Source organism: Homo sapiens, chromosome 5 (genome assembly GCF_000001405.40).
Source record: "Homo sapiens chromosome 5, GRCh38.p14 Primary Assembly".
Lineage (NCBI taxonomy): Eukaryota > Metazoa > Chordata > Mammalia > Primates > Hominidae > Homo > Homo sapiens.
In genome coordinates this window covers 11,370,491-11,395,968 of record NC_000005.10, presented here as the reverse complement: position 1 = coordinate 11,395,968, position 25,478 = coordinate 11,370,491, and the positions used below count along the sequence as shown (strand labels likewise).

The window sequence follows — 25,478 nt, the reverse complement described above, 5'->3', positions numbered from 1 at the left end:
GGTCAGGACTTTTTTCATGTTTGTATCAGGAGCACCTGGCAGGCCACATGGCCCCAAAAAATGAATGCAGAGGTGAGAGGCAAAGAGGGTTAACAGCCTGGTGCAGGCACCACTATGTGTTCATTTATGTGACATTCACATTATTGAAGCAGGAGCTGGAAGTTTTTTGGATTTCCACTACTAACATTAAATTACTGTGCCAGAAACAATTTTTAAAATGTCATTACCTTCTTCAAGCAACATCCTTGTTCATCAGTGGCTTTGTAAGTCTTACCTTCTCACAATGCTGAATGATAGGAATATGGGTAAGAGGAACTGATAAAACATTCCATTGAGATAAAGGGCCTGTCCCTCTACCCACATTCAAAGTTGCTTTAAAGTTTAATCAGAAAGGGTTACTAAGTTATAAAGATATCAAAGCTCTGTATCTGAAGTCATCAGAGTTATAGTTTGAAGACATCGATAAATGTAAATGTTCAAAGATATAACTTAAGTTTGAGGCAAAGGTTACTGGTAGACTCACTTACCTGGCAGTGGGTAGGATGCACAAGTATGAATAATCAAACCAGGAGTTGAAATGTTCTAATTCACTCTACTAACAGAAGGGAAACCATTGTGGAATATCTGAATTCTCATTTATTTAACTCAGTGGTAGATATTGGTATTATAATTTACTTTAGCTGTGTGCTGAAGTATGAAAGGGATGCTTATTGAATATTCTGTAGCGCCTGTGACTTCAATGTAATGTCAGAGAAACGTTCAACAAATAAGCCAGCATTTTCACTCTGCTTTTAGTGTTATACCCTTGAGAGAAGGGAGGCCACATTCCATTCCAATAATGACACTATTGTTCAGATCCCTCTATTTGAGTGGTGTGATACTTTTCTTTTCAAAATTCTGATCCGTGTGAAATCTTACTCCTTCAAGCCGAGGTTAATTTTTACAATATCCTGTAATAATAAATTGCCACAAGGCCTAATATAATTCAAACGATGGCTAACAGATGTCAGACCAAGTGAGTATGGTCAATAATCAATCAAAACAAAAATATTCTATTTTTTTTCTAAAAAACTATGTAGTTCTAAAGTAAAGCAATAATTTTTTATCTGGTTCGTAAATTTAAATGTAATTTCAAAGGAGTATTATAAATGCTCAAAGATTCTAATTTCAGTATTTAAAAATCTCTATTCAGCGTAATAAATGCTTATTCAGTGATCATCACCAGGATCTACAACAGGCCCTGATGATATGTGTGTAACCCACATTGCCCCAACTTATCAGCCCAAAACTCAAACTGTAAGCCACCCAAATTGCCATAAAATATTTGTTCTCTGACATTACTCTTTAAAATCATTCTTCTGAGACTTAGGATGAGTTCATGGAGCTGGTCCAGAGGAGAGAGAGTAGACTACCCTTCCCATCAGACCCCAAGGCCATTCTAGAAAGTGACCTGAACTGATTTACAGATATCCTTTCCCCACTGCCAGCACTCTGCTCAGCTATGCTGCAAGCTCCTGCCCCAGCCTCTAAATAAGTTGTGTAGGTCACCCCTCCACAGACCCCTTCTTCTTCCAGGTCAACCTTCACCTTTGTGTGTCTAGGTTATTCTTTGATGCATTCAAGATGTTTATCATGTGCCAATTGATGCCATGAGCCCATGTGCTTGGGATGGAGAAGTAAAGAAAGTAGACATGATCCCAGTCCTCAAGGAACTTCTATTCTAGCATCAGGGATGGAGACTCAGAAAATCAACACAGCAAATAAGTAAATTGCACAGTACATTAGAAAGTGATGGTTTCTATGGGAAGGAAATGGATACAGACCAGGGTAAGCAAGATCCAAAGTGCATGGGGGAGTGCAGCATGATAGGGACCTCGAGGAGACTTTTGGGCAAAGACATGGAGAAGAGGAAGGAAGCTATATGGCTCCCTCTGCACAGCAAATGCTGTGGCCCCTGGATGGGGCAGCCTGGCATGCTGACAGAGCAGCAAGGATGCCAGAGTGGCTACAGTGGACTGCAGGAGTTGTGAGGTGATGGGAAACCACTCAGTCATTGGTAGGATTCCTTTTTTTACTGGGAGTGAAGTGAGGAGCCAGTAGAGAATTTCAAGCAGAGGAACGACATGATCTACCTTATGTGTTAAAAACATTACTCTGTCATATAATAAGTGATATCCTATAGTTAGTTGCATTTAAGTCTGTTTCTTCCTATTAGATTGCCCTGCTGCAAGAGCGAGAACGATGCAAGACTTACCTTCATATCCCTCATAATTGACCCAGGGTTCACCAGATATCCATCAGGTTCTGCCAAAACCAGACTGATGTTTTATAATTATTCTGTGCTGGTTTGTGGGTGGGCTAGAAGATAAAGAAGTTGGCTTTTTCCACTCACATAAAGTTTCCATTGGATTATATGAAATGCTAAATATAAAACTTCTGGCAAAGAGGAGCCAAAAACCAACTCTAAACATGTTGGTTTCACCCCATGTCCGAATAAAAAATAGTTTCACCAAGCATTTTGTCCCTCAAACAAAAAAACTATGCAAGAAATATAAAAATATACATCTGTAGACAGAGCACTGGCAAAGGAGTACACAAGCCTAAAGATTTCAAAATCTTTGCATATTCTCCAGTAGAATTGAACAGTGTGCACAACCGCAATCTTAGGGAAATGGCCTGCTTGCTGTAAGAGAAATTAAGAATTGTATGATAGTTCTCTAAAATAAAACTGAACAGTGGTAAGTGTTCTAGAAAAGCAATACACTTTTTGAGAAACAAAATTTCCATTTCTTTTTGATCTGGCTTATCTATTTAATGTTGTGCTGACTTCTATGTCTTAAAAGTCCTCATTAATGCTATATCATAATCATAAGTACACCATCTGCTCACTTCTTTCAGAAGGAAGTGTGTTCATTGTGTTTGGAACATTGCTTATTGGTGCACACTCATGCGGGTGGATGTGAAGGCTGAGGGGAAGGGGAAGTTGAAGGAAGAGCAAGTTCCCTGTAAACACCTATGTCTTGAGTGTTGAATAAAAAGGGTGGTAAAGACAGCTAGTATGACTTCACTCCCATTTGCTTAATTATGAAATAAGTTGTTGTTAGGTAAAACCTGCAGAGAAAAGTCACCAATAAATTTGGAAAACACAAAAATTGCAGAGAGATTTTTAACATAAATGTATACACTATGCAACATTTAGAAGAGAATTCATATTGTTTCACATATTTTCCTTGGCCCGTATTTGCAGGAAAGTGGCAGAATATTTGTTTTTAAGATAGTTTTAGGATGACTCTCTGTTGTGAATCCCTATTCCTTGCTTTGCTTTAAAATCTTTTCTCTCCATTTTCTCTTTCCAGGATAAGCAAATTTAGTTTGGCTTCAATAATGGAAACGTTTCTCATGGCAGAGAGGGTGTATATGTGTTTTGCTGTAACATTTTCTCTTCTGAGCAAATATTTGGGCTATTGCAGTTATATTAAATGAGCCTCTTGCTGAAATAAAGTTCTGTGTAGTATATTTTTGCGGGTGCTCATGTAGGTTTTAAGAAAGAGTTGCCATCAAGAAATCTCTCCTTACGTATTCTTCAAGATAAATCTATAAGATACTTACATCATTGCTTTATTTCTTTCTTCTCTATTTTCTTTCCACTGGTAGACCACAGAAATGGCCATATGAAATACTTTTCAGAACATTTACTGATAATGATCCTAATCAGTTTTCTTTAAAGGGAGGTAAAAGGGTAGGAAAAATCAGTACTCAAGGATGCAAAAATCTACGTCACCATGTTTGCACTTGTGACTTAGAGACCTGGGGAAAATGAATCCATTGCCGCCTCCTTCTAACTGCAGTGGCAGAGACAAAATAGTTTGCAAAATTTCTCTCTCTCACTTTCTCTCTTGTTCTTTCTCTCCCCCTCCTCCATAATTTTGGGACCATTGGGCAGAGAGAAAGCAGCGAGGGTGGTTTCTGTTATTATTTCCAGGGATATAGTTGCTTTTATGGTCCTTTTGATTTGGATGTTCCCATCTGAGGAAAGGAATTTCTTCCAAGTACCTTGGGTTTTCCGTTACTTAAGTTCAGTTTGTTGTGGACACCACCTTTCAGTGTCAGTGGGACATCACCACCAGGTAAACCCAGCCCTTCTTTTCTCACCAACAGTAATGATCCCAGTGGTGATGACTTCAGGGAAGGTGTATAAAATGTGCATAGAAGCTATCTCTTCTTTTATGTTACATATTAGCTTTTACCAAAACCAGCACCCCTCAAGAGAATCATCAAACAAGGCCCTGGATGATTTTATTTAGTTATTGACAAAATCAAACTTTTCTCGCAGTACCAGAGTTTTCTTCCTTTGGAATTAAAGAATGGCATTCCTTTGGAAGACGATTTGAAAAGAAAACTTTCCAAATTTTTTGAGCAATGGTGTGCATGCTCAAGCAAATTCATTACATCCCAGGGAGTAAGTTCAAGGCACACAACTTATTTGGGGATGTAGATTTGTTTTACTTGCACTATATTATAGGAACATTTCATATAGTACTAAATATGACTGTAAGCATTTTGGAGTTGGTGATTTCTTCATGTTTCAAAATTGTGAGATCAAATCGCCTTGTCTGTCTTTGTGTGCAAGCCCAAAGCTCTAGACAAACTTAAACTAGGAAAGTGCAACAATTTCTTAAAACTGTTAATCAGCAGCACAGAGCTGATATAACTCAGTTACCTTACCAGAGTGCTCTCAGTAGAAACAGACTTCTTTGAATATGTCATCTTTAAGCCATGCCCTGTTTTTTATTATGCAGGATTGATCCTGCCTTTCTTAACTCACTGAAGGAGTACATTTTGTCATTGCTTTTACTTTCTCATGTCCTTGTCACAACTTAAACCACTCTGCATTGAGACATCTTCCTCACACATGAGCTCCAATGTCTTCCTCCCCCAGTCCGTGGCCACATTCACATTTTGACTCCTCTGTGGCCCTGGCCCTGTGGCCTGTGCCTTCCTTTGAATGTGCTCCCCAGCTGCACCTGTCATAACCCTGTGCTTGCATGGGTACACTGCTCCCTGTGGTGACCTTAGGTGCCACCAGCCAATATTATCTGGAAAAGGAAGACATCATTAGTAACTAGGTTTGCCAGTCTGATTGTAATCCCAGGAAAACAGAAAGGGATGAATACAGTGAATGGGGGAGCAGACTGCTGATCCCGTTAAGCTGGACTCAGGGAAGCCACAAAACGGGGCTCCAGTTCTCCATTCCTGACACTGTTGGCCCGGCTGCCCAGCATCCTGGGCAAATAGGCCTCCTGTCCCAGAACTGGGGGACTTGCTGGCAATTTAAGAAAACTTGGCAGGTCTAAATGCATCTTCACAGGACCGCTCATAAATCATGAGCCTGCTTTATAAAATGTGCTTTTGCTTAGTGACAGGGCTTACTCATGATGAGAAGTCAAGATTCCTTAGAGATTACAGGCTGTCAGGTCTCTTGTTAACTGGATATAAGCATTGGGGGGATTTGTTTTGTTTTGTTTGCACTGCCAGATCCCCAAAGAATGAGGATTGAATAAATTTTCAAGTTCTGAGAATTGTCCCCTTATGACTCCTCTGCCATTCCTACTCCCTCCATAGAAGATTCAGCGTGAAAGAATCTGGAAGCAAATGTGCTTGGCACTAAAACGAGTGCCACTTTCTGGTTTAAGAGTGCCATATTCTTAGGGGCTCCTACTCCCCCAAAGAACAGTGTCTTAATTGTGGCCAGATAGTATTCTGTACAAACAAAAATACTCCATCGATAGATCTCCAAAATAACATCAAAGTAAAATACTCCATATAAGGGAATTGTTGAGAGCTCTTCAAAAACAAACTCCTCATTTGTACATGGTGTAGACAGGTCAAGCATCCCTTGTTTGAAATGCAGGGGATCAGAAGTGTTTTGGATTTCAGATTTTGGCGGGGGGCGATTTTAGAATACTTGCGTATCCATAATGAGATTTCTTGGGATGGGACTCCCCCCCAGTCTAAAGACAAAATTCATTTGTATTTCATACATAACTCATAGCCTGAAGGTAAGTTTATATGACATTTTAAATAATGTTGTACATGAAACAAAGTTTATGTACATTATACCATCAGAAAGCAAAGGTGTCAGGTGTAGAATTTTCTACTGTGACATTCATGTCAGTGCTCAAAATGTTTGGGATTTTTGGATTTCAGATTTTGGATTTTCAGAGTAGGGATTCCCAGACTGTAGTAGGCTCTTCTTAATGGTTTATTGAGTCAGTGAGTAAATTAATGCATCAAACTTGAGTACTGTTCATTAATGGCTGTTGGAATAATGTACATATTCCCTAACTTCCCATTTCAATATTTTTTCTACTATACTTTGTAAATACATCCTCCCCTTAAACAGTTCTATAAAATAGATATCAATGCATCTACAATTACACAAGAGGCCTCAATATACCACTAAGTACACACACACACACCATGTAATGTAAAAATTGTGACACTGAATATATCCTAAATCTGACCCATCTGAAACATATGTATACAGATAAAATAATTTGTAATAGCTTTGATGAGTTAATGTTCCATATTTTTCTTGAAAAATTTCCCATAAGGGAAACAAGAACTGAACTACACTTAATGTGCACCATACTCTACCTATCAGAAACTGTTGAATCAGAACATCTCCTTGATGGGGTTGTTTATCTGTGAACATTCTGCTTCCTTGTCCATTTCTCGTAAATGGGTTCCTCATTTTGAAGGAGTGGGAAAGACAAATAAAGTTGCCCTCGAGGCTGAGACTGATCCAAAGAGCTGAGAATGAAGACAGAGTCAAGAATTGTCTCTGCCAACAGCCTAGATGGTGTGACCAAGGATGGGGCCCAATCTATTCCAAGTATATCTAAATTTGTTATATCATTATTTTTATTTTCAGAGTCACACATCAATAAAAAATTATTTCAACTGTCTTTGCATGTACACACACATTTCCAAATATCTGCAGGGAAGCAGTATGTAGTAATCTTTAGTTTAAAAAAGGAAAATGAAACTTTACTTGAATTCTAACTTTAAAATCAGATTTGCAGCTTTATAGTGCTAACATACTTTTAAGGTAGAATTGAACTCTTGTGACACTAAAGTGAATACAATTCTGTATGTGTTGGAATGTGTTTCGATTATCTCTAATGCAACGATGGGTAGTAATAAACTGTCCTATGATTGTGCAGCTGGCTTGAATGACAGCCTCAGGTAACCTTAACTGACAAAGAGTTACTAAATCAAATTCGGTAGTGAAAGAAAACATAAGCACAAGGGTGAAAAGAGGCTCCCCCAAATTTTGTTTTTATTCAAATGATGCTACAAAACAAATTTCTCTGTTTAACCAAAGAATAGTTCTTAGGCATTTATTACTCTATAAGCCATTGAAATGGAGTATAGCACCCCTGGTTTATTTATTGTAAACTGCAGAGGAGCTTAGACAACTGTGCTGTCCAAGAAGGTGGCCACTAGTCACATGTGGCTGTTTAACTTAATTAAAGTTAAGTATGTACTGAAGTTCCTCAGCTGATTAGCCACATTTCAAGCTGTCAATCAGCCCATGTGTTCAGCGGTGCCATATTGAGCAGTACGGATTGAGAACATTCTCTACGTTGTAGAAAGCATTGCTGGTAACACACCAGTGTAGCTGGTGCTCCTGAGAAGGTGCTCTAGTTGATAATGGCTTCTTATGCAAATGGATTCAGGAGGCTTTTTTGGAAGTGCATTTTAGTACACAGTGGACAATACCACTTACTATGTTAAACAGTATATAAAATTTTATTGTTTATACTTTTCCTTTTTTCATGCCAAAATTATTAGCACAATTTTACCAAGATCCTATAATATCTAAAAGACTTTCAAATTGGTTGCCGTAGCTTGTCAAAATGTCTACAGCTCATGTGGCAGTTGTCAAGACTTCTACAGATTTGGGGTGCATTTAAGAAAACATAGGAGACAGTCGTATTCAGCACTTAGTACACCTGAGACTAGATGTTTTGACAGATTACAAGAAAAATAAAGTATTTGTAAAAAGCATTAAGGTTTTCACAGGATATATGTTCTAATATTTAAATATTAGAATGAATACCGACTTAATATTCTCATTTACATTGGTATGCTTTAGTTAGTATTTATTAAAAATTATGCTATTTGGTAATGGCATCGTTAGTGTACTCTAAGGTTGTTTTATTAATGTTACATAGCCAAGACATAACAAAAAGTTTTTGTTTTGTTGTAAACAGGGAGCAGAGAGTGCTCCTGAAACCTTAGAGAAAGGGTTCTTTCTTCTCATTTTGTTCCTGTGGGAAGGGTTTTCAGAAATTTTTGTCGGATGCTTTTCCATCACTTGCCAGCTGTGTTCTGCATGGCTGAGTGTTGCTCAGGCCCCAGTTGATAGGGAACCCCAGTAGAGCTTCAGAAGAAAAATGTCTGCAGCTTAGTGGTAGTTCTCAGAGCAACAGCATTTGCCTGCTCTGGGAGATTGTTAGAAATGCAGACTCTGGGGCCCACTCCGCACCCTCCAAATCCAAGTGTCTTCTGGAGCAGTGTTGGCAAACTTTGACCAGCACCATAATCACCCAGAGTACTGGTTAAAACCCAGATCCCTCAGCCCCTCCCCCAGAGTTTGTTCAGTTTATGGTGGGGGTATGATTCTGATTGCTCTGATTCCTCTAGAATTTTTTTTTTTTTAATGCTGAAAAGACCATCAGGGACCTCCCTTTGAAAACCACTGCTCTAGCGGGACGTGGGACTCATGCTTGGTTGCACAGTGAAATCACCTGCTGAGCTTCCAAAAAAAACTGATATATGGTCTCACCTTCAGGGATGCTGAATTAAATAGCAATGGTAAGTCATGAGTATTGAGATTTTTTTTAAAAGCACCCTTGGAGATTATAATATACAACTAGATTTGAGAAGCCCAATCTATTTAATACATGTTTCATGCTCAGAGCTGCCACTGGGAGAGAAGCAAAATTGCATCAAAGCCACCCCCTCAATGACTCTGGATGAAGCTAGACTATTTCTCTGGGGCTCAGAGTAAGCACACCCACATCTGTAGTGTTCGTTACCCATCCTCCACATATAAGACCCTCATAGCCTTGAGACTAACTTGAGGAACCATTCCACAAATATTCCTGGAGTCTCTGCTAGGAATCAGGCCCTGTTCTAGTTGCTGGGGACACAACATTGAACAAACTCATGGAGCTTACATTTTACTTTCACTCTTAACATTAAAATAATTGCTTTATGGATTGCATGTGTGTGTGAGAATATTTAAAATATATATACCGTACATAAATACATATGCATACACATACACACACTCTGCATAGAGAAAGTCTCTCACCAAACTGTTTACCTCCTATGCCAGGCTGCTCCTAATAGAGAATTTTGATGTTGCTCAATTAACTCCTTCAGATCTGCATATGAACTTGACATCCCAGATAAAATTTGGAATGCCTGTGTATGTGCAGTGAAAGTGCCCAGTCTATTATTTGCCAATTGCCATTCCAGAACGGGTAGAGAGGCATAATTGAAACTTTTAATGGCTAGCATCTGTTCAATCTTCTCTTCCTCCCTTCCCTCGATCTCTCTGGAGTCCTCCTCCCCACCCACCTCTCATCCCTCATTTCAAATCCCTCCTTCCCAGCTTCTCTCCAACTCTGTGTACAATCCTACTCCCTTTTCACACCAGCAGGCTCTCAAAATCCTCTCTGCTCCCCGGGGAAAGCCTGGAAGATCTGAGACCTCCTGCCCAGAAGTGGTTGACAATGTAGTGTTTTCATTCGAATGCAAATTTGTCTCTGGACAAGATTCAAGGAAAGTGCTTTCCCCTCCAACTGTCTCTCCAGCTCCTCCCCAGCCCTTGTTGTCTTTTGTGTTCTTGTAAATAAATGAGAGGCGAATGGCTTTCAGTTTGAAGACACAGCTGCAGGGGGCTCTTAAAGGGAGCTAGAGAGAGAAAGATGCTGAAAGATTGGGAGCCCAGTATTAAAATCTAGAAAAGGGAGGCTTTTTTAGCATTCTCATTTCCAATTGCTCTAATTCCTCTAGATTTTTTTTTAATGCTGAAAAGACGAAGCGAATTCATTCTGACTTAGTATTTTTCCCTCCGTTTAACTTTTCATTGTCCAAAAAGAAGAATCCACGCGACAATAGCAACAGAATAAACTGTAAGAAGTATGTTTATTCTTGATGTTCTCCAGATAAGTATGTAACTCGGCCAATCTCAGAGGTAGAAAGTGTATCTAATGAAATGACCTGGGGCAAGGGTGGGGAGTGGGGGACAGAAAAAGATTTACTGCCCGAATTTCTCATTAAAACAAACAGATTGTGATTGCGACCAGGGAGATCATGATTGCCCTGTCGGGGTGGGGCTTTAAAAATCTTTATGTGACTAATGCGATGCTTCTGCTATTTCCGAAATAACATCTACATGTAAGCAAACACAGGTCTCATTTGTCAAACGTGACTTCCCTCCAGTAGTCAGCTGGCCTGTGCCAGTGTCAGGACAAGAAATCCGCCCCAGGAGAGTTCGGGGCGCAGGTTCGCGTACTGCCCCGAGCGCAGCTGGGATCGCAGAGCCGCCGGGCGCCCGCGGCATCCCCGGTGTGCCTCTGCTCTCGGGGCCGGGCTGGGCCGGGTGGGCCGTGTGCTTCTCCCTCGCTAAGTGCGCGTGTTCTCTCCTCTCCCGGGCACAGGGCACGACCAGCCGCGCCGGCCACCTGGCGGGGCCCGAGCCCGCGCCGCCGCCGCCGCCGCCGCCGCGGGAGCCGTTCGCGCCCAGCCTGGGCAGCGCCTTCCACCTGCCCGACGCGCCGCCCGCCGCCGCCGCCGCCGCGCTCTACTACTCCAGCTCCACGCTGCCCGCGCCGCCGCGCGGGGGCTCCCCGCTGGCCGCGCCCCAGGGCGGTTCGCCCACCAAGCTGCAGCGCGGCGGCTCGGCCCCCGAGGGCGCCACCTACGCCGCGCCGCGCGGCTCCTCGCCCAAGCAGTCGCCCAGCCGCCTGGCCAAGTCCTACAGCACCAGCTCGCCCATCAACATCGTCGTGTCCTCGGCCGGCCTGTCCCCGATCCGCGTGACCTCGCCCCCCACCGTGCAGTCCACCATCTCCTCCTCGCCCATCCACCAGCTGAGCTCCACCATCGGCACGTACGCCACCCTGTCGCCCACCAAGCGCCTGGTCCACGCGTCCGAGCAGTACAGCAAGCACTCGCAGGAGCTGTATGCCACGGCCACCCTCCAGAGGCCGGGCAGCCTGGCAGGTAAAGGCTCGCTGCCACCTGGCGCGACTCACCTGGGCGCGTGGCGGGGACGCGGAAGCAGCAGCCCGGCTTGAGCAGAAGCGAAGCCGGGCGCGCTGTCTGCCAGGTTGTAGTAGTTGCAGGAGACAGAGAACGCCAGGGCTTTCCTGGAACAAGTCAGTATCTTCCCTACAGTTTGTCAGTGACTTCTTTTCCGGAGTAATGTGGTGTCTCAATCTCTAACACCTATATCACTCTCTTCTCTCCTCTCTTCTCTCTCTGCCCTCTCCCCAGCCTAAAGACTAACTCATAAAAGTAAGACACATTTAGGAAAGCATCCCATAGACCTGTTGATGGTATCCAGAAAAAAAGCAAAACAAGTAACAGTTGCAGTATTGACAGGGTCACCTTTAGTTGTCTACATTTCATTGTGGAAAAAGTAAGGGATTTTCTCAAATTAGACGTTCAGCTTACATAGTTTTCAATAGTAGTGGGGAAATAATTAATAATGAATTGCCTTGAATTATTACCCTTTTGTTTTGGCTTGAATTTATTTACATCTTTGCTAAATTAGTTATTGGGAAAACTAAAGGACTCTCCCATACCTGTCATTGGATGTACTTGGGTCCTAACATTTGCGACAAAGTTAGCAATGATGAAGTCCCTTAAATTTGTACCTGCTTTATTACAGGGAGGGAGGGGCTGGGCTTGGGGAGAGAAACCTGCTTTCCTCTCCCAGTTTAGAGGAGGTGACATTTCTGTGGTCGTTATGCCCGTCAGCGACCAGGCTGCGCTGGTGCCTCTCTGCTGTTAGCACCATATGCTCAGCTTAAACAAGACACCATGATTGAAAGACTAATGTTTTGTCTTCTGAAACACCTGACAACTAACCCGGATTTATTGTGAATTTTTTTTCCCTTACAGAAGGATTTGGTAATTGTGTCACTCTAGTAACAGATGCTGTGCTCATATGCTTCCTTTCTTGACACAAATAGATGACTGTGAAGATAAATAGGATTTAAAAAAGGAGCTTGTTGCATGCATGAGGCAGGTGGCCAAGGGCTTCTTTAATTCAGCACAGTAATTGCCAGTGTGGACTGGCCTGGCCTAACAGGATGCAGGCTAGGGTGCCACTGCCCACAAAATTATGCTAGCTACGTTTACTGAAATGAAAATATTCTCTCACTCACTGCCTCTCTCTCAAATAGAATTTTTGAGGTAGACAATTATTAGTGCCAACCCAGTATGAGTACCTAAATCTTCATGCTGTAGGGACTCAGGAGTAGCGATCTGCTTAGAAAAGGGGGCGAGTGAACATGTACTGAAACTTCATGTAAATGCTTTTGTAAAATAAGTTACCAGATCATGTCAAGAAGGGGGAGATGGGTGGAGTTCTTACGAGACTCCATGACACCCTTCTCAGCCATGCGCACCACCACAGAGAAGAGGAGACTGAGGCGCAGGGAGTCCAGGCGTCCTACTAGAGGCCATTTCATTTCTTACACTTACCTCATGAAAGAAATCAGGAGTCTTAGCTTCCAGTTCTTTCTCCCATGGGTGATTTGTGTAGACTTTTGCATGTTCTAGTCTATCATTTCAGTAGCAATCGAGAGTGTGGCCACATGGCTGAATATACCTGTGGAGAGGTTAGGGGAGGGTGAATGGAGCTGAATAGAGCCAACAGCTCCTTCTATCATTGCATCTAAGAAGAGGTAGTAAAAGTACATTGTAAAAATAGATTGTATTGCGCTTAGGTTGCAAACTATGGCCCAGGGAAGGTATAAGGGACAAACTCGATGCTTCTGAGAGATTAGGAATATTGCAACTCCAAGACCTCCATGCCTGATTTCGTGTGCTTGATACCATTCGAGGCGTTGTGAAGTTGGGAGCTACTTGGTTTGCTAGTTGAAAGAGCAGTTAGGTCAAGAGATGGCAAAACAGCTTTTGGAATTTCGGGGTTGTGATTTTAGAGATTTGTCACTGATGACTAGGAAGGGTGGATACAGGATATGTAGTGACTTTCACTAATTCATCATTCTACACACACACACACACACACACACACACACACACACACACACACACACACAGAGTCTCACTCTGTCGGTTGCCCAGGCTGGAGTGCAGTGGTGCGATCTCGGCTCACTGCAACATCCATCTCCTGGATTCAAGTGATTCTCCCGCCTCAGCCTCCCGATAGCTGGGATTACAGTCACCTGCCCCCACGCCTGGCTAATTTTTGTATATTTTGTAGAGACTGGGTTTCACCATGTGGGCCAGGCCAGTCTCAACCTCCTGACCTCAAGTGATCTGCTCGCTTTGGCCTCCCAAAATGCTAGGTTTACAGGCCTTAGCCACCGCACCTAGCCACCTTCAATAATTACTTTTAAGCACCTTTTATGTACTGCCATTGATTTAGATCCTAGGGATAAGAAATCAGCCAAAATCCTTGGCCTTGTTTCAAATGAGGAAGACAGAAAATTATCAAAATACTTATGATAGATGGCCAGGGAAGGCTCTAATTAGGAAGAGACTTTTTAATATATAATTTCCAACTTTTATTTTAGATTCAGGGGGTACCTCTCTGGGTTTGTTAGCTGGGTATATTGCATGATGCTGAGGTTTGGGGTACAGTTGATCCTGTCACCCAGGTACTGAGCATAGTACCCAATAGTTTTGTTTTGTTTTGTTTTGTTTTGTTTTGTTTTTTTGTTTTTTTGAGACAGAGTCTCTCTCTGTCACCCAGGCTAGAGTGCCGTGGCGTGATCTTGGCTCACTATCAGCTCCGCCTCCCAGGTTTACGCCATTCTCCTGCCTTAGCCTCCTGAGCAGCTGGGGCTACAGGTGCCCGCCACCACGCCTGGCTAATTTTTTGTATTTTTAGTAGAGACGGGGTTTCACCGTGTTAGCCAGGATGGTCTTGATCTCCTGACCTCGTGATCTGCCCGCCTCGGCCTCCCAAAGTGCTGGGATTACAGGCGTGAGCCACCACACCTGGTCCCCAATATTTTGTTTTTTAGATTCCAGTGATGCCATTAGTTAGTACACAGTACTTATACAGAAGGTAACTTTGAATCTGTCCTGACATAGGTGAGTGAGCTGGCCCTGTGACTATCTGGGCAGAAGGTTTTCTAAGCAGGAGGAACAGCAAGTTCAAGGGCTTATAAATGGGGGTGTGTCTGATATGTTTGCTGAGTAGCAAGGAGACCACGGGGGTTAATCAGAGAGAACAAGAGCAAACACATGACTTGAGGTCAGCAAGGTGGGAGTGGAAGGCCAAGTCTGAGAGGCCTTGTAAGTCTTGTGGAGAACTTGATGCTGCCTTTGCTAAACCCATGGGCACCATTGGGGATTTGAGCAGAGGAGTACTGCATTCTGATCTAGTTTGTAACAGGGTTACTTCGGCTGCCATTTGGAGAATAGACTATCAGGATTAAAGGCAAAAGCAAGAATGTCAGTTGGGAGCTGATTGCAGTAATTTAAGCAAGAGGTGATTATGGTTTGGGTTAAGATGGAAGCATTGGACGTTATGGAAGTGGGTATTATAGTTCTTGATGTATATATAAGGTGTAGCCACTGAGATTTTCTCATGCACTAGGTGATGAAGGTAAGAGAAAAAGAACTCAAGGATGCCACCCACCCAACAACCAGAAGAATAGAGTCACCATCAATTGAGAGGGAGTGGGCTGCAGAGGGACCGGGTGGTCTGGGAGTAGTTCTGGTAAATGCTAAGATCTTGGTTTTGCATAGGTGATATCTGTCAGAATCAAAGTGCATGTAGCCATTAGAAAGTGGGATATATGCAGGTTAGAGTTTTTCAAGTTTTTCTTGTTTCGCTATAAACATTTCCAGAAATTAGAAGTTCTATCTGAGGGTTTCGGGTCATCGACTATAGTGGGCACTTGGTAAGGCAACACACATTCACAGTTTGCATTGGATCTTCCTGATAGACAAACCTTAGAAAATCTGACCACAAACGTCAGAGTTCTGACTCTCTGGGAAAACACTACAATTCAGATTCAACCTACAGAGTGTAACTTCTCAGATGTTAAGTCATCAGAACCCAAAGATCCCTGGATAGGTTTAAAAATTTCGTTTCTTTTATTTAAAAAAATCATATCTGCTTTTTATCATATAGAGCTACCTGAGTGGAAAGCCAACTCTGCCTTGGGGGAGCTCCTTAAGGCTGGTAGGCTCATTGCTCACCGGCTTAAAATTATTCCCTGATAAAAGGGGTCACCATTGTATCTATTCATATACTTTTGCACATAAATAAGGTAGCATATGTAAAGTACTAGCACATTTTCTGGCTCAATAGAAGTTAACTCATATTATTTAGTAATACCTACCACACTACCTTGGGTGTGCAAGGAAGAAGACATCCATCTTTGCTTCAGACACAGCAGGTTTATTGAATCCCAGAACATGTCAGTGTCTGTGTTGGGCATATGCAGATGAATGAGGCATAACCCCTGGTTTCAAGAGACTTAGTTTCGGAACAGCCACAGGAATGGGCAGTTTTAAACCCCGCGCAGAGTCAGACAGAAGCTAGTTACTATGGGAGCATCCTAGCGGAGCATCTTACAGTGGGGTTCAGTGTGCACCTGGCATGCTTCCTTGATGAAGTGGTCCCAGAACAAAGCTATAAAGGAGCAACTAGAAAGAAGCGGTAGCCAGAACAAAGTCAGAGTTGAGAGGGTGTGTGTGGGGTGCAGGGAGGCAGGGGAAGACAACTGGCAGCTCAGTGTTTCTTGAGCAAAGACAGAGTGGTAGGGGTGGTGAGACATGAAGGCGCAGAGGGAGATAAGGCTGCTGCATCCCACTGTAATGGACTTAGCGTTTTATCCATCCAGCAGACAACTGACATGGTCATATGTGCTTGTTAGAAACTTTGTTCTGGGCAGTGTGTGGAGGCTGGAATTACAAAGAAAAAATGGGCAGAGAATCACTTTGGAAGCCAGTGAAGTAGTCCTTCACTGCTTCTTAAAACTCTTTCCCGTTTGCTTTGAAATGGGACAATACAAAAATTATCACTTATAAATGGTTGAGAAAAAGGCTAGTCAGCGACAGAACCTACTTTTTATATTTTTTCCTGACCCAAAGTTTGTTTAGTTTTTTTTTAATAAATTAAGAGTTAAATGTATTATTTTAATACATCTCATGTAGTCTCCAGCAACTTGATGAGGCAGACATGATTTTTACCCCCATTCTACAGATTTAAAAACTGAAGCTTATGGATGATAACCTCCTTGCCCAAAGCTACTCATCTAGAAATGACAGGGATGTGATTTGAACCTACGTCGCTTTGACCCCAGAATCTCTGTAGTCTTAAATGTACGTGATGCATAGTTAGAGGTAGTATATTTTTGTGTCAGTGGAGAAAAACACGAAGGATGTAGAAATGCAATATAAATTTTCAGCTTATTTAAGTGACTCATTATTTTAAAGAAAGTAATAATAGTATCTAAAAAAGCTGTCGACATCCTATTGAATGTGTGATTGTAACTTCACCAGTACCAATTTTTGTTCACTTTTACAAAGAGAATAACATAATCCTTTCACTTTCGGGATTTGTAGCTAAATTAATCCTGTTTTGAAAAGAAATACGAGTTGTAGACATGCATTGAAGTTGAGTCAAACATCAGAAGCTTATTTTGAGGTAAAATTGAAATGAATGAAGTGGAGACTCTTAACCAATGATTTAAATCAAAATTGACCTAATATGGAGAGGAATTTGGTCAAGGCCTGTCTAACTTGTCCCCCAGTCAAATGGACATAAAATTCAGTATTTAGAGTGGATCGTGCACATAAATGCTGAATCTTTACTGTTTAGAGATTTCAGACCCATTCCCTGACTGATTAAGGCTTCCAGGTACACTTTATATGAGAAAGAAAAAAAAAGAGTCTAGTCCTAGATGAAAGCTTCGCAATCTCTGCAGTGAGGTTTTCAAAGGAAATGTGAAGTCTACTGGGGTAATGAACGAGTTTGTTTAGGCCACAGCTCCTGGGATGGGGTCAAAATGCAACATGATATCTGGCTCCTGCTGCTCCTTTCAATTCATTTTGGAAAGCTAATCTTCCCGTGCTGTGGACAAGCATTGCGCAGTTCTCACGAACATTCTGCTCACTCTAGTGCTAGATATTTAGATTTTCCCACTGTCACTTAAAGTTAAAAAATTCCAGTGTACATTTACTAATTAAAATATGATCAACCTGTGATATCAATCAACTTTAACCTTGTAAAGGTGGTTAAGGCTGACTTGCTCTCAACTGGAGCTTCCAGGGGTTCTTTCGAACTAGACCTAACTGGGCACTCTCCCAACGACAGCGACTCATTGCCTTCCCTGCTGGCCATGCCTCTGGGCTCCAGCCCCTTCCTCATAAGCATTAGGAACCCATTGCCTGCCCCAGGTGTCTTTAGAATCAATGTAATATGGGTCTCTCTTCTGCATAGTGCATTGTGTCATCCTACACCTCAACACACTTGGGGAGTACAGGCTGATTTCCACACACCAGCCATTTCCTGCTTCCACCAACAAAGCAGTTATTCAGCCAGCCACTTACCCTCTGGAATTCCAGGACCCCATGTTATAGTAGGGAATCCATATCTCAGTGGCTTCGTGCAAGCTCATCTCTCTGGAATTCCCCACCTCCCAGGAAGGCAGACATGAGGTCTGCCTTTGCTGAAGGTTCAGCAAACCTTCCATCCTTTATACATGCTAAGCCCAGTCTAATAGCATTCATCTGCCTACGGGTCCAGAACTCAACAGAAATGGTAATCAAACATTTCTTTTGTAAATTCATTTGATATAGCACCTCTATTCTACTTACCTTCCTATCCAATTTCTATCCAACTGATGTCCAGGTCAAACTGAAGTGGGAACAGTGCAATTTTAACACTCCCGTATGGCAAGTTAGTGCCTAAGCCTGGAACTAAGAGTTGGGATTGCGAGGTGGCCCAAAATGTCTTCCTGGTGTCTTTCATTTTTGTTTCCTTCACAGAAGTTAATATCTACCATTCTTTTCCTACCTCATAGCATCCTTGTAAATCAAATGCGGGTAAACAGATCCTTTTTTTGTTCTTTGGTAGGAAAGTGGCATCTTTATATAGAATTCTGTGAAAGCTCTTCTAATATTATTGATATTGATATGACTTCAGTTGTGCTTTAGCTGAGAAAATGTGCCCTAAAAAAATGAAAACTACCTAAGATAATTGTTCAAGATGGCATCCTCTGCCCACTCATTTGTTTCCCCTATTTCCCGGACACCTCAAAAAATAAAAGTACAGGAATACAATAGGGAATGAAGTCACAAAAGAGACAAAACACAGAGGCTGGGCCCAGTGGCTCACACCTGTAATCCCAGCACTTTGGGAAGCTGAGGTAGGCAGATCATGAGGTCAGGAGTTCGAGACCAGCCTGACCAACATGGTGAAACCCTGTCTCTACTAAAAAATACAAAAAAAAAATTAGCCAGGTGTGGCGGCGCGTGCCTGTAATCCCAGCTACTCAGGAGGCTGAGGCAGGAGCATTGCTTGAACCCAGGAGGCAGAGGTTGCAGTGAGCCAAGATCGTGCCATTGCACTCCAGCCTGGGCAACAGAATGAGCCTCCTTCTCAAAAAAAAAAAAAGGAGACAAAAACACAGAGACCAGGGTCTGAGTGTCACCGACAAGCAAGCCAAGTTAAGAATTTCTAGAAAGTAGAGTGATAAGCAATTAAAATATAGGAGTGCTATCTTTTGAGAATGAGCTCTGTCTGGACTTTGGAGGTGGACTGGCTGTCTTGTGTGAATTCCTGGACAGGCCCAAGGGTCAGAGCTGAGCTTGAGGGGGTGGGGCTGGGGAGAGATGGGCTGAAGATAGAGGGATTCATTGAAAGTCAGTGTTCAAGACAGTTCTAGGTTGACACCCCCTGACAAACATCTCTCCTACCAAAATGGCGACCCTGTAGCCAGTGCTTACTCTGAGAGGTGTTCTCTTGAAGAAACTTCTAGACTTCTGTTATAGATGCTGGTTTACATTAGATAGTACAAGCGTATGGAGTGATGAGGAAGTTGGGACTGCTCCCCCAACCCCCCACTCATTCTGAAGGAAGACTGCCAGTCTGAATGCCCTGCCTTCCCCTCCAGAAATTCTAACTCGAGAATGCACAGTGGAAAATACTGCCCTTGACACTGTGGAAAGAAGCTGTCACTGGATTTTTCTTTCTCAAATATGATAAATTATCAAAGATTACTGAGGAATTGGAAAGAGTTAGTGGCATGAAAAAGAGAGACCAAAATAGAAAATTGATGTAGAAAGGGGAAGTCAGTATTTATTTCTCTTTAGAATAAGAAATACACACACACACACACACACACACACACACACACAAAGGCATTCATCACTCAGGTCTTAAGCTCAGGTGGTTAGAAGCAGATAATGCCACAGCTTTTTCCATGGCTGAGTCAGTGTCTTAGTCTGTTTAGGTTGCTATAAAAAATATCATAAATTGTGTAACTTACAAACAACAGAGATTTATTTCTCCTAGTTCTGGAGGCTGGAAAGTCCAAAATAAAGGTGATGGCAGATTCATTGTCCCATGAGGGTCCACTTTTCGGCTCATCGATGGCCCCTTCTTGCTGTGTCCTCACCTTGCTCTCTCGGGTGTAAGGGCACTAATCCCACTCATGACATGTCCACCCTCATGACCTCATCACCTCCCAGAGGCCCCACCTCCTAACACCATCACACTGGGTGTTAGCTTTCAACATAATCGGGGGGCGAGGAGAGCACAAACATTTAGACCCTAGTAGTCAGTTCGCTTGTTGTTATTCACATGACGAAAAACAGTCCCCTTTCCCCCAACTTGGTAGCTTTTTTCAGATATGTAGTATTTATTGTATGTAGTCAAAACAAATTGACTTTCTGTACTAGAAAGCATCACTAACATCACTAGGGTACAAAACCAGTTGGTTGTTTAACAGTATTATCTGGATAATGACAACATTTGAAAAAGGAGGTGAGAGAATTTTGGCTATAGATTGGTTTCATCAATTTTGTATTCAACTAGAAAATTAATGTTTTAATGAATACAACTGCGATTCAAATGATCATTATACATACATAACCCAATAACTAATTGAACTTTAACATATACATGCACATACACACATATTAAAGCTTTTGAGAGGAAAAGAATCAAAGGAAAATTTTAGTTCTCCTTAGAACTGTTTATTACATAACAGAATTCCTCTCTTCTCCAACTCGTTTTATATATGCTGAATATTATGTTGAATAAAATAATAAAAATTAATAAAATGTTGATATAGAGAAGTTGTAAAATATAAGTACAGAGAATTACTAATCTGTGAAGCTGTTTACTTGTCGTTTCCTCCCTCTAAATTATGTTGAGAGTTAGGGTGTCTTTTTCTTCTGGAGTTATGACAGAGGTCACTCTGAGTGTTGGTGAAAGATACAAAGAAGTAGAAGAAAATGATATAGGGAGAATACATTTTCAGTTTGTATTTTAGAAGCTAAATGTCTAATGGTTTAAAGGGAATTTCTGCAGCCTACCTATTACCTATCTTATGCAATCTGAGGAAAAAGGCCTCTGTTTAGGATGTTGAGATGTAAAACATCTTCGTTTACATGTTTTTCAAAATATTTGAACCCATTTACAAAGACAACTGCATGTTTAATCCTATTCTTGCTTGTTAAGCCTTATTCCTGTTCATACCTTGAAAAGTTCATCTGTACCCCTTTGATGGGCAGAAGCCACATAATCAAAAATGAATACTTAGCTTAGTTCCCACAGCAGTCAGCACTCTGGAAAGCAGAATGGAGACTTCTGGGCTCTCTGAAGCTTCAGCCCACAGGTCTGCTTTGCATCTTGATGTAACAAAAAAAAAAAAAAAAAAAAAAAAAAAAAGTAGATTGGGAGCACCTTGTTCTGGATTATTTCCATGGAAATATTCGTAGTGATCCATAATAATGAGGTCTGGAAGCCAGACTCCAGATGCACTGTTGGAATATTGCACTGATGGGGTATTGAGACACAGCTGTTGAGAAATAAAATGCCACTTGTTGAATTTTATCCCCCTCCTTGATAAGGAAGAGTATCTGTGTGAATATGCCCATTAAAAACTCTGGTAAGTCACTAATGAATAAAATACCGAGTCATAGATCGCCCTGCATCTGTAGTTAATCAGGACAAACAGAAGATTGTGGTGGTGAAGACTCTGGGCCCACTCCTCCTAGTAGCTGCCAAAAGCTACTCCCAGGGAGGAGAGGTAGTTTGAAGCAAATCTTAAACACAAGCCTTCTCCCAGGTAAAAATTAACCTTCATAGATTAAATTTCTTTACATGCTCATGTCAAAAGACTTTTGTTACAAGTCTGATGTCAAGTTATGTTGTTCTTCTGTACAAAGATATTACAAATTCAAAATTTCAATCACTCCATAATTTCTTATTCTACCTGGTCTCAGCTGAGAAGGGTTTAGGGTGCCTGGGTAGAGTCTTTCTAGGGGTCTTTTCCCTAGCTTCAGTCAGGACTGTCTCTCACTTGAAGGGTATGGTTACAGTAGTTCTTTATAGCAAGAGTTCACAAGACACACGTGATCATCACAGCACTGACCCCACCCTCCTCAGACATAAGGCTTGATCCAGCCCAGAGACCTGCAGAAGGAAAGGGAAAAGGCAGAGGCAGGAAATGTCCTGCCATCTCTGCCTGGCCACAACCTGTGACCTCCCAGGGACTTCCCAGCAGGAGGCATGCTAGGGACATGCCCCTAGGTGTAGCATGCCAGGGGCAAAAAGCAGCCTCTACTTTCAAAGGTACCCGCAAATTTCTGACACTAAAACCTCATCTAAGAAGAGGTTCTTTCCTTCCCTCACTTTCAGGAATGGATATTTCTGGGGATATTCTGAAGCTTCAGCCTTAAAGAGTCTGCTGAGGACCAAACCTTGACACATGCTCCTCAAGATCCTACATCTAGCCCCAAATCTATTAGTTTGACCCCTGGCCATCCAGAGATTGGATGCTTCTTGGAGAAGCCTGGAGAATCTTTGAACTATTCCATTCCCTGGGCCCCTCCCCTGAGGTCCTGGTCTGGAATGCAGCCACAGCATCATTCCTCTTTTAAAAAGTCTCCCATTCAAATGCTGTGCATGTTCTTTCAGGGTTGAGAAGCCCTGAGCTATCCTTACCTATGTGGGTATTGTGGCAATGCAGGGAACCTAGATACTTGCCTCTCCAGAATCACCCAAGAAACACCATAATCATAGCAAAAATGTTCCAGCCCACCCATGTCTAAAATATCCACCCTGACCCAGACATGGTGGTGGGTCCCCTGTAGTCCCAGCTACTGGAGAGACTGAAGTGTGAGGATCACTTGAGCTCAGGAGTTTGAGACCAGCTTGAGCAACATAGTGAGACCCTGTCTTAAAAAAAGTCCACCCTAGAGATAGAAAGATGCTCTTTCCCCACTAGAAGTGACTCTTGCCCCAGCTATCCTGCTCATTAAGGCCTTTGAAGTCCCCCTGGTGTGGGGCCCGGACAACTGTAGCTAAGATCAGTCACTCTGCAGCAGCTGATAGAATGGTCACAGTTGTCATGGCCAGCACAGCTTGTGCTTGCAGAGCCCAAGCTGATGAGCACCTGCATTGCCAGTGTCTAGCTATACTCTTGAACTGTGCCTTTATTGAGGCCACTTGTGTTTGCCTAACAAAGCAGGAGTGCTGGGCACAGTGGATCACACCTGTAATCCTAGCACTGAGGCAGGAGAGACCACGGCATTGATGGTCTGTCTCCGGGGCTCCTAGAGACCAGATATGTATTCATAGCTAGACAAATATGTCCTGGCTTCTCAAAGGGTGGTCCGTGGACCAGCAGCGCCAGCATTGCCTGAGAACTTGCTAAAAATGAAGAACCTCAGGCCCTTCCTCAAACCCACTGAGCCAGAACCTGCATTCCAATTAAGGCATTCATATGCCTGTGGCATTTTGAAAAACACCAAAATACGTGGCTAGTAAATTTGGTGCTACTTTCTACTTCCTGTGAGATAGGAAACCCAGAACAGATATTGGTTGCAGGTGTCAAACCATCCCTGTGTACTTCATATGTTTTACTATTACCAGTACCACCTTAGCCATAGGTTCCTACCGGTTCTTTGTTAAGTTGAAGCCGTGCATGAGGGGTGGGGTATTACACTCCATCCATTTCACTAGAGAGGAAGAACAACCTTCCACTGCAAGTAAAAATGCAAAGCTTGACACAGGACCCCACATTACTCATTATACTCCGTTACCACTATCATTATTTTCCAGATGCCTGCCTGTTACAAAAAGAACTGAACAAAGGAAGCCTGTTTTCCTAACAGTTTGGGAATAGATGCTTGTGGTTAAAAAGAAAGTACAGGAACAAGGGGCATATACTTTTCTAGGGATGAGATCACATGGACACACTTACCATGATGTCCTGGGCAGTGATTTTGACTTTTAAATTATTTTTGCTGGAAAGTATTTGAGTCCCAATAGTTTACAGTATTCATTTTGTAAAAGGTGTGATGAGGTTTCATCATGACAATAAATTGTATCGGAAAACCTCATCAGCAAAGTTATGGGAACAAATTCTGTGTTTTGTACGCTGCCAGAGACTGCATAGTATTCAAGTTATTAGTGAAAGCAGCAAAGCTGTACTAAGTTAGTATAAGAAAATCTAACATTTATGAAATATGATGAAATAGGAGGGCATTTTTTTCTTTCCAAAAATAGATTTATAATAAGATCATTTTATATTATCAGATGGCCTGTTACACTGGAATTATTTGGTTTCAGTGCAATTTTATCTTTGAAATCATATGAATTAACAATGTTCCTTCCAAACGTAAGTCTGAAATACGACTCAATCTATATGAGAAATGTGTCTTTATATCTTTGCATTTATAACAACATGATATAAGATGTCAAATTAATTACAACAAAGTAATGATCATTTGCAAATGAAATTCAGTTGATAGGCTTGATTCAGAATACATAGGAAAATATTTTGGGGCCCTTTAAATAGCAAATTTAAGTTTTGAATTAACATAGGATTAGGAAGGAGACTTTGGAGTTTTGATTTAGGTCAAAAGCAAAAATCAAGAATAAAACAAGTCAATCTCAGGAAACAGAGTTCAGAAGGAAGGATGTGAATGTGCCCAGTTCCTCATGGATACTCCTGAAGTAGCATTTGAGGCACACCTTTCTTAATGTGCCTTCTTTGAGATAAGTTTTATTATGATGAGGTATTCTTCAGATCTAAGATGTAATATTTGCACCTCTCAACAATTTACCTAGTACACATTTCTGAGATAATGTTAACCAAAGTTATGTTAGTTTTTGTATATCTCAAAGTGTTTATATGCTGATATCACCTTTTCCCCTTGGAGTTTCATGATAACAGGTATCAAGCCAAACATTTTAAGAGGTTCAAAGTCCAGAAAATAGCTATTTCAAAGCCATCAACTATCATAGAGTACAGGCTGACTACCTGCAAAGCCATGTTGCCTAGCGATGCTGACCTATCATCATGGGACATACCCCTAAAATCAGGATGTCCACAAAGGAACAACAGCAGTGTAGATTTGCAAGGGAAAAATTGGCATCTAGTCCAGGCCCCACCCTTCTCTATAGAAGTTCCCTTTTGCCCTTCAAAGTTGTAGTTTCGTTAATAATTATCAGTGCATTAACTGACCTTACAGTTTTTAAAAACCTCAATTTTATTTTGGATTTTTCTTCATATCATAAGAAATTTACTTTTTTCTCCATACAACAGCACTTTATCTCAATAATGAAAGAACTGTTCACAAACACATTAAGCCTGCTCACTCTGGCTATGTGAATACTATGTCATTTAGACCCTTCTTTTTCTCCCTCCATTTCTTTGCAAATAAGCATTTGAAACTGGATGCTAAATTTGAAGACACCAGTTACATAGCAGTATGTCCTTATAAACTATATTGATACTGCAAAATGAAAACATGGAAAAATATATTTCTTTGTAAAGGCAGGTGAATTTGCATTAAATTAGAGAGTCATAGATTATAGAGTATATAAATAAAATAATATGAATGGATTCCAATTTAAAAAATCCAGCATGGACCTGTTTTATTAATGTAGTAAAATAATTGGCATAACCTGTATTAAGTGGAATTGTTTGAATAAAGCAACAAAT

At 41.7% G+C, this 25,478-nt stretch overlaps 1 protein-coding gene across 11 annotated transcripts in view, besides 1 other annotated feature; it reads left to right on the top strand.

Moving 5' to 3' along the window:
- The window catches only part of CTNND2 (catenin delta 2), a 932,611-nt gene that overhangs the window by 508,478 nt on the left and 398,655 nt on the right, over positions 1-25,478 (top strand). For 5 of the 11 annotated variants that reach the window (NM_001332.4, XM_005248251.4, XM_011513967.3 and 2 more), the window contains one exon: positions 10,740-11,304. The exons of the other annotated variants lie outside the window; for them this stretch is intronic. In NM_001332.4, coding sequence (NP_001323.1) covers positions 10,740-11,304 — 565 coding nt within the window. The remainder of the gene's footprint in view (positions 1-10,739; positions 11,305-25,478) is intronic. 11 annotated transcript variants of the gene reach the window in all.
- Positions 9,331-10,287: an enhancer, noted in NCBI's record as "OCT4-NANOG hESC enhancer chr5:11385794-11386750 (GRCh37/hg19 assembly coordinates)". NCBI's record gives its function as "activates a minimal SCP1, AML or CMV promoter by ChIP-STARR-seq in naive H9 embryonic stem cells {active_cell/tissue: H9 hESC(naive)}" and the evidence as "EXISTENCE:reporter gene assay evidence [ECO:0000049][PMID:30033119]".